This window comes from Homo sapiens, chromosome 11, assembly GCF_000001405.40.
Source record: "Homo sapiens chromosome 11, GRCh38.p14 Primary Assembly".
In the NCBI taxonomy this organism is placed as follows: domain Eukaryota; kingdom Metazoa; phylum Chordata; class Mammalia; order Primates; family Hominidae; genus Homo; species Homo sapiens.
Window position 1 is genome coordinate 119,752,812 of NC_000011.10, and position 8,980 is coordinate 119,761,791.

The 8,980-nt window shown below is 50.5% G+C and overlaps 1 annotated feature.

The window, feature by feature from the left end:
• Positions 6,582-6,631: an enhancer, noted in NCBI's record as "active region_5634". NCBI's record gives its function as "activates an Ori minimal core promoter by ATAC-STARR-seq in GM12878 lymphoblastoid cells {active_cell/tissue: GM12878}" and the evidence as "EXISTENCE:reporter gene assay evidence [ECO:0000049][PMID:35858748]".

Consider the following 8,980-nt stretch of genomic DNA (forward strand, 5'->3'; position numbering starts at 1 on the left):
CAGTCTGTCCCTCCCTCTGCTTCTTAGCTGCTTATCTTCTGGTCTTTCACTCCAATCCATGCACAGCTCTGGGGCCTGGAGAACCCCACTGATCTTTAAAGGGTCTGGGCTATTTCTTCTTCTGTTTCTTTCCCCACTGCCTAGTGCCCTCTGCCTTCCTGTGAGCTCTGACTGTTGAGGGGGCTCTACCAGGCCTGCTACTGACCTCTCAGTCTGTGTAGCCTTTTGGGTCCCCTTCCCAGCCTCCATGCAGGCTCTCCCAGCTGGGTACAGAGCTGGGCAGGCCCCCTCCTGGAAGTGGCAGCCGTAGGAGCAGCTGGCCAGGGAATGGCTACGTGGGTGGGGACAAGCAGGGCTGGAAAGGGATTAGTTTGCCTTGGATTCTTTTCTGTGAAAATTTTTGTCCATTTGCCATGATCCATTGATTTCAGCTGATGTCATTCTGGTACGTGGGAGAGGCTTTGACATCCATCTAGATCAGGGGGCCAGAGCCTGCACCCAGGAGTCAGAAACCCTGGTTCTTGCTCCAGAGGAACCTCAGTTTCTTCATCAGATGTATCAGTTTGGAATTAAAGGTCTTTAGTTTAAATTTTGAGCATCTAGGAGACTTCTACTTTATTTAGAGTCTAGCTGCACCCTGATCATTCCAATCAAAATCTCCCTCTCTGTGACTTATTTGTTTATACAGACCACAGATGTGCAGACATGCGGACACACACATGCACATGCAGATGCAGCTTTAGCTACTCTGGGTTTTCCAGGAACTTCCCCAACTCAGGTGGGACCTCGCCTCCTTCTCAGGATGGGGGCTGCCTGCAGTGTGTGCTCACTCCACTACACTCTATGGCACATCTCTGGATTGAAATGTGCCTACTGATGACAGTGACCTAGGACAATGACCCACCTCTCCATCCGTCCCCACACCCCCTCCCCTAAGATTAAAGACCCGAATCCTGAGTCTTGCTCTTGCTGCACCCCCTTCTTGGCTGTGAGAAAGAAAAGGGAAGTAGGAACAGCCCAGGAGGGGTGTGGAGTGATCATGGGACCCTGAAATGTCAGCGCTCGAAGGGACCACCCTGACTCCTAGCCTAGTCAGCAGGTTTCCAAACATTTCACTTCATGTGTGGAACGTCGGCTCTGACCATGCTTACCTGGACATGCAAACAAACAAAACTGATTAAAGCCAAAATGCCTGCGTTAAGGTGGGTGGGAGCTCTGCCCAGCACCCTCACCCCCATGACCACTTCTGCATGCCCCTGAGTGAGCAAGCATCCTGCAGCCCTTTTTAACTCTGACAAATGAGGCTTAAAATCCAGCCAGCCAGCCCACTGGTTCCTGGTGTGGTCCCCGAGACCAGAAGCATCAGCATCACCTGAAGACATCTTCAAAATGCAGATTCTTAGGTTTTGCCGAGTCAATAATCTGGGGGTAGGCCCAGTGACTCATGTTCAAGAGGCTCTCTGGGTTACTCAGACGCACACCCCAGTTTGAGAACTGTTGGTCTAGTACAACCCCCTTGCCTTACAGATGAGGAGTTGAAGCCCAGAGAGAGGTGTGCCTTACCCAAGGTCACAGAAAGTACGTCACTGTCAGGTTATGACTCTGGGCCAGACTGCCTATCTGTGGATGTCTTTGTGGTGAAGCCATGGATTTTTTCACTTGTCCTTCCCCTTAGCTGGCGTAAATACTCAGGGATCAGGGATCCAGAAGCCAGAAGGTAAGAGAGCCTGGGAAATGCACAAAACAGGACAGGGAACAGCAGGCAGTGGATCTGGGAGCCACAGCAGATGATCAGCACGCTTGTTCAACCTTTCACTCCCTCACTCATTCATTACATTTCTGGAGCACCCAGGTGCTGGGGAGAAAATGACAAGAATTCTGGGTCCCGTCCTCGCCAAGCTTAAAGCCCAGCACTGCCCATCCCCTTGGCCAGGGGCACTCGCTCACTTCATCTGTGGGTAAGGGGGAGACCTTTTCCCTCAGGGAGGCTATGCCGAGTGGTGACCAGCGAGGGACCCCTGGGCCTGGACACATGGGAAGGGATGTGGAGAAAAGCCAGGTTGAGGGCAGAGACCCAGGGTGTGGCTGGTCATCATTTGTGTGTTATGTCTGGGAGGTCTCCTTGGAAGAGGCAGATTCCAGGAGAGGACACAACTTTGGGAAGCAGAGGTGGGTTGAGCACAGGCCAGCATGAGGGAGGAGGGGTGAGCTTCACGTAGAGGAGAAGCCTTCAGAGGGGACCGGGCTGAGGTGAGGCTGGCGTGAGGTGGGGCGAGCAGGAATGGAGGCACCCAGCTCACCGGCCCTGCTACCAGTTCCCCAGAAGCCTGGGGACTTCTGTGAATTAGGGAGCGTTTAACATCTCCCACTGATTAGCCGCTGCCTGCTACGGTTAAGCGGGGAGAGGGGAGAGGGCAGATTGGAGCCCAGCAGCTTTGAAAGGCAATGCTGCTCCTTGACAAAGCCGGCCTGGGGAGGTTTCAAAGGCAACTTCTGAGCAGCCCGCACGTTTTATGTTCACTAGATCCTCGCTTCCCAGGCTCCAAAGACAAACAGTGGGATTTAAGGGTTTTTTTCTCTTTTTGGAGACATTGTGTTCCGAGCTGGGCTTTCAGCTGAGGAGGAGGCAGAGCCGGCTGGGCTCCTTGCTCCACCACATCCACAGCCTGAGCACAGCCCAGCTCCATCTTCTCTGTACACTGGGAGCTTCCCAGGGGCCCCCGGAAGCTTTGCAGCAGCCCTTGCCCCCAGGCTAGGTGAGAGGGTGCCCCTGGCCAACAGGGATGGGCAGTGAGGGATACAGTCCAGGAACTGCTGGCCTTAAGCTTGGTGAGGACAGGACCCAGAATTCTTGTTTGTTATCATGTCCCCAGCACCTGGGTGCTCAATAAATGTTGACCGAACAGATGAGGGAGCGAAAGGATGAATGAGTGGGCCGATCACTTGCCGGTGGCTCCAGATCTGTCTCCTGTTCCCTGCCCTGCCTGGTGTTGCTGGGAGCTGCATTTCCCAGGCTCCCTTACCTTCTGGCTTCTAGATTGGTTCAGCCAATCAGAGGAGGCACTGGAAGAAGGTGGATCGTGGGAGGAGGGGAAAAGCCAGGATATATTTCTTCCCTCTGTCTGTTTCAGGCCATGTCCCTGCAGTATCTGTGTCTCCTCTGGCTTCTGCTGATCAGCCCTGTCCTGCTGTGCAGCTCCCTGTGGGGGGCCTGTGGTGGCTCCAGTTTCTGTCTGATGGCCTCAGCATCGAGGCTCCTAGAGACGTTGCCTCCTTCCAGCCCCAGGAAGGGGACAACTTCCTGCTGTTGCTAATCTGGGTTGCTCTACCTCTTCTGTTACCTGTACAACCAAATCCCTCGTTTAAATCCCTCTGCTTGAAAGGCCTAGAGTGGTTTCTGTTTTCCCAGTGGACTCAGTGGAATGAAGAGTGAACACACTGCTTGCTCCCTTCAGAAAGAAGATTGTGTATGAGCGGCCAGGCCTGAGTGGGTTTGATCTGCCTGGGCCTGTGAATCTTATAGATGTGTGCAGCCTTGCCCTGGACAGGACACCCCATCCCACTGCCAGGGCACATGCCTCTGCATGTGAGTGCTGCTCTAGCCCTGGGGACACTGCCCACCTATGCCAGTATTGTTCATTTCCTCTGAGCTTGGCTCTACTGCGTGATGCAAAAAATATAAGACGTGGCCCACCTCACACCCATGAGGATGACTACTGGCAAAAAAACCCCAAAATGACAAGTGTTGGTGAGGATGTAGAGAACTTGGAACCCCTGTGCGCTGTTGGTAGGAATGTGAAATGGTGCAGCTGCTGTGGAGAACAGTATGGCAGCTCCTCAAAAAATTAAACATAGAATTGCCATGTGACCCAGCAATTTCACTTCTGGGCATATGCCCAGAAGAACTGAAAGCAGGGTCTTGAAGAGATGTTTGTATACCCATGTTCATAGCAGCATTATTCACAATAGCTAAAACACAGAAGCAACCCAGATGTCCATCAACAGATGAATGGGTAAGCAAAATGTGGTCCCTACATACAATAGAATAGTCAGCCTTAAAAAGGAAGAAAATTCTGACTCACTACAACATAAATGAACCTTAGGACAGTATACCAAGCAAAAGCAGCCAGTCACAAAAGGAAAAACACGGTATGATTCCACTTATATGAGGCAGCTAGAGTAGTGAAAATCATAGAGACAGAAAGTAGCATAGTGGTTGCCCGGAGCTGGGAGGAGAGAGAACAGGGAATGATCATTGAATGGGTACAGAGTTTCAGTTTGACAAGATGAAAAGAGTTATGGAGCTGGAGAGTAATGATGGTTGCACATTATGTATTTAGTACACTTAATAATGGCTAAGATGGTAAATTTTATGTTATGTGTATTTTTATGTTATACTGTATATACCACAATTTTTTAAAAGTGAAAAAAAAAGCATAAGACATGTCATAAAGGCACAGCAAGAGGCAAGGAGGAAAAGACCATCTACCACCTGTCAGACCCTGTTCAGGCCTTTTAGCCTTTATCTCTGCGAATGCCCACAATGACCCTGTTGTGCAGATCGTCTTATCTTCATTTTATAGAGGCAGAGACTGAGACTCTGAGAGCTTAAATGACCTCTTTCCTCTCTCACAGCCAAATGGTCACTTGGTTCTGCCCATTCCATGTCATGCTTGTGCCTCTCCTCGCCTGCCTGCTGTCCTCACTGCTCTGCCCACTGGATGCACCTGAGTCCCTCACCAGCCTCCGGATTGGTGTGCTTGTCCCCAAGCTCACCTTCTCCCAACCCAACCTCCACACTCGTGCCAGGGCCATTTTCTAAAACACAGATTGAATACATACTCGATTGCTCAGCATCCTTCAGTAACCCCCGTTGCCTAAGGAATAAGGTCCAATCTCCCTGGCATGGCAGTCAGGGCCCCTGGGATCTGGAACCAGCCCCCAGCTCCAGCTGTGTCTCTTTGCCTCCCTCCACCTCACCTCCCCCACCCATAATTCAGCCCCACGAAGCCATGTGGAGTTTCTCCATGCACCCACATGCTAGAAATATGTCTCCTAGCTTTGGGATGGGGTGTCCTGTCCAGGGCAGGGCTGCCACATTTGTAAGATTCCCAGGCCCAGGAAGATCAAACCCACTCCGACCTGGCCGCTCATACAGTCTTCTTTCTTTCTCTTTTGTTTTCTCTTGAGATGAGGTCTCACTCTGTCACCCAGGTGGGAGTGCAGTGGTGCAATCATGGCTCACTGCAACCTTGACCTCCTAGGCTCAAGCAATCCTCCCACATCAGCCTCCCAAGTAGCTGGGACTATAGGCACATGCCACCATGCCTGGCTTTTTTTTTTTTTTTTTAGTTTTTGTAGAGATGGGGGTCTTGCTATGTTTCCCAGGCTGGTCTCAAACTCCTGGCCTCAAGCTATCCTCCAGCCTCAGCATCCCAAAGTGCTGAGATTACAGATATGAGCCACTGTACCCAGCTCAGTCTTTTTTCTGAAGGGAACAAACAGTATATCCACTCATTCATTCCACTAAGTCACATCTCCTTGCCTTTGCAAGGGCTGTCTTCTTAGCCCCAAGGGCCCTTCATCCCCATATCCGTGGGAAGCTACTGTTTTTTCTTCAAGACCTGGCCTCAGCATCTTTCTCCCAGGATGCCTTGCACAGCTCCCTGGATGGAGGCTGTCTTCTCATTCCTGTTGCATTCATCACACCATATTGCAATCATCTGTTTATATCTTGATTTCCTTGCCTGGACAGTAAGTTCCACGAGGGCAGGAGCTATGTTTTATTCAGTCATTCATTTAAAAATATTTACTGAGCATTAACTTCATGCCAAGTACTCTGCCATACCCTGAGATACTTGGCTCATGTCATGGAATATATGGTCTAGTGTAGAACAATCACACCAAAAATACATATACTCTAGGTTATGAAGGAAAGGTAAAAGATGTGCCATCCCCAGTGTCTGGCACTGGTAGGAATGCAATGCATGCTACTTTTTGGCCTCTGCCCCATCCCCAGGCACCAGTGGACCCTAAAGGCCCAGCATAGTTATAGTGCTGCTCCCTCACCAGCCTGTGAGCTTCCTATGGGAGAGACTTCGTCTCTTGATTCATGTCCCCTGAGTGTGGCACATAGGAGGTGTATGATAAATGTAGGTTGAGATAAAGATGGAATTGCCCCCTTGTGTGTGAGTCAGGATGGGCCTTGCTATCAGAAGGAGCCCAGGCCACCGGACAGTGGGGTCAGGGTTTTGGACAAGGCTGCCCTTCCTCTCTCTAAACACTCCCTCCCCCCTGCTATGGGAAACCAGAAAACGGGAGTCCTTTAAACTCTGTTACTTACTAGTTATGTGACCTTGGGTGAGTCATGTAGCTTCTCTGAGCCTCAGTTTCCTCATTTGTAAAATGGACGTAATAGTATTAGGTTGGTGCACATGTGATTGCGGTTTTTGCAATTAAAAGTAATACTATGTCATAAATTTGCTATGAGCAGGTTTAAGTTAATATTACAGAAAGGATTAGCGCAATTCCTGGCACAGGGTGCCTGCTCAGTAAATATGAGCTATTGTTATTTTACTGCGGGTTCCCAATGAGTGCCCCACTGTCACGCACATGCATCCCCCCGGATCCCACACCCGACCCAGCTCCCTCTGGATGGGCACACCACCAGAGTCCTGTCTTTTCCTCTTGCTCAGAAGCTGTGGGTAACTGGGGCTTAATTAAGCACGCTTGGCTGGGGTGTGGTTAGTGGCTGCTGTATGAGTCAGCAGAGAGGGCCAGGGTTGGAGGAGGGTTGAGGGGGCTGGAGAGAAAATGGAGCAGGAAGAAGGTTTCTGGTGCCCGGGGCTGTATTTCCAGGCTCCATGAACCCACTTTGTTCAACAATCGAGGGGGATAAGGTGAACAATCCCTCAGTCTCTTGAGTTCCTCTTATAGCTCCCAGCAGACACCCCACCTTCACATTGAGAGCTGTAGCTATGTCGTTGTACGATTCATTCATTCTTTTCTTTGGCACATATTGCTTGCTTGCTGTTGCTGGACATTGTCTGAGGTGCTGGAAACAGTGTAGTGGACAAATGGACACAGGTCATTGCCCTCATGTAACATACAGACTTGGGGAAGGCACAGATAAGTACACAGAGATTGTGACACCCTTTGACCCGTGCCACCATGTGTTGGAGGGAGCACACAGAAAACCCCAGAATAGCTCGCTTTTCTTTCCTCTGGGTGTCCTGTCCTGCATAGCCTCCCACTATGCATTGAGGTGACATGATTTGCTTACCTGTCTCCCCCACCAAACTGCAGGCAACTTGGCGGCATGGAGCATGTGATGTTTCCCTCCAGGTCTTGGCACAGCACTTGGAGCATAGCAAGTGCTCCAAATATTGGTTGGCTGATTGAATGAACCCCAGCTCAGGAAGCAACTGGCTACATGTTTTCCTAGAACAGAGTTTGGCAAACTGTAGCCTGGGGGCAAAATTCTGCCTGTAACCAGCCTATTTTGTGTAGCCCTTAAGCTAAGAATAGTTTCTACTTTTTAAAAGGTTGGATTATTTAAAAAAATCAAAGAATAATATGCTGTAGAGACATATATGCAGCCCGCAAAGCCTAAAATATTTACTCTCTGGCCTTTTACAGAAAAAGTTTGCCTACCCTGCTCTGCAAGCCTGTCTGCACCTCGCTCAGTTTCCTCATCTATGAAATGCGAGGCCTGAGTTAGATGCCACAAAGGAGTGAAGTGCTGTGAGTCTGCATCCCACAGTTCCCGTCTTTGTCCTTGATTGTCCGTGTTGCACTCATCCCCGTATTGCAGGCATCTTCCCCAATACCCCATGCACAGCAGGTGCTCAGGAGATGCCGGCTGGCAATATGGGGGTGTGGCCACCCTCCCTCCCTAGATCTCCCAGGAGGGGCAGAATAGCACGGCTCAGACACAGACAGAATGGAGCCCATGCTGGTCTCTGGAAACTTCATGGCTTCCCAGTCCAGATCCTCTCTATTTAGGAGGTGAAGCATCTGCAGGGTTCTGTGAGGAACGTCAAGGGGCATTAGCGATGCATATGGGGTTATGGTGGCTGGAGAGGGGCTCAGAGCTTGCTTCTGTTGCTACACAGCTGTGTAAGCTTAGGCAAGTTATTTAGCTCTCTGAACACCCCCATTTCCTCAACTTAAAAATGGGGATCATAATTCACCACCTACCTTCTACGGTTGCAGTGAGAATTAAGGAAGGCAATTAAACAGGCAGGTGCCTTGTAATTCTACAGGGTGTCCAAATGCTAGTAATGATTGTTACTGTTATCACAGGACATTATGGGGACTCGGCTTTGTTACTTGGTTCCACTGGATACAATGGAACATATCAAGTGGTTCTGGTAAGAATGATGGTTTTATTCTTGAAGGTCAAAGTGGATTCTAAAGCTGCTCATCAGAAAGGCCCAGGTGAGTGGGGTCGGGCTGGGGTGTTTATGGCCCCGAGGTACCCCCTGCCTAATCTCTGCCTGCTCCTTCAGTTGTGAAGGCTGAGAAACACTATGGGAAGAGACTCCCCCAAAGTCTTGAGCCCCTGTAGACCTCAAGGTAGGGAATGGGGCCAGACCCACATGACAATCTCAGCAAGGCCCCCCCTCCCACCACCTCTGTCTGCTGGGAGGGAGAGTTTGGTCCTGCTGCCTAGCCCAGCTGCCCCTGGCCACCACTCCCTGGTGGCTCATACCGTCACAGGCTCCAGCTTCATCCCTTCACAACCTGGACTGACCTCTGTTTAGCATTTCCTTTTCTTTTCTTTTCTTTCTCTCTCCCTTCCTTCCTTCCTTCCTTTCTTTGTTTTTGATGGAGTTTTGCTCTGTCACCCAAGCTGGAGTACAGTGGCACAATCTTGGCTCACTGCAACCTCTGCCTCCCGGGTTCAAGGGATCCTCCTGCCTCAGCCTCCCGAGTAGCTGGAATTACAGACACATGCCACCACACCTGGCTAATTGTT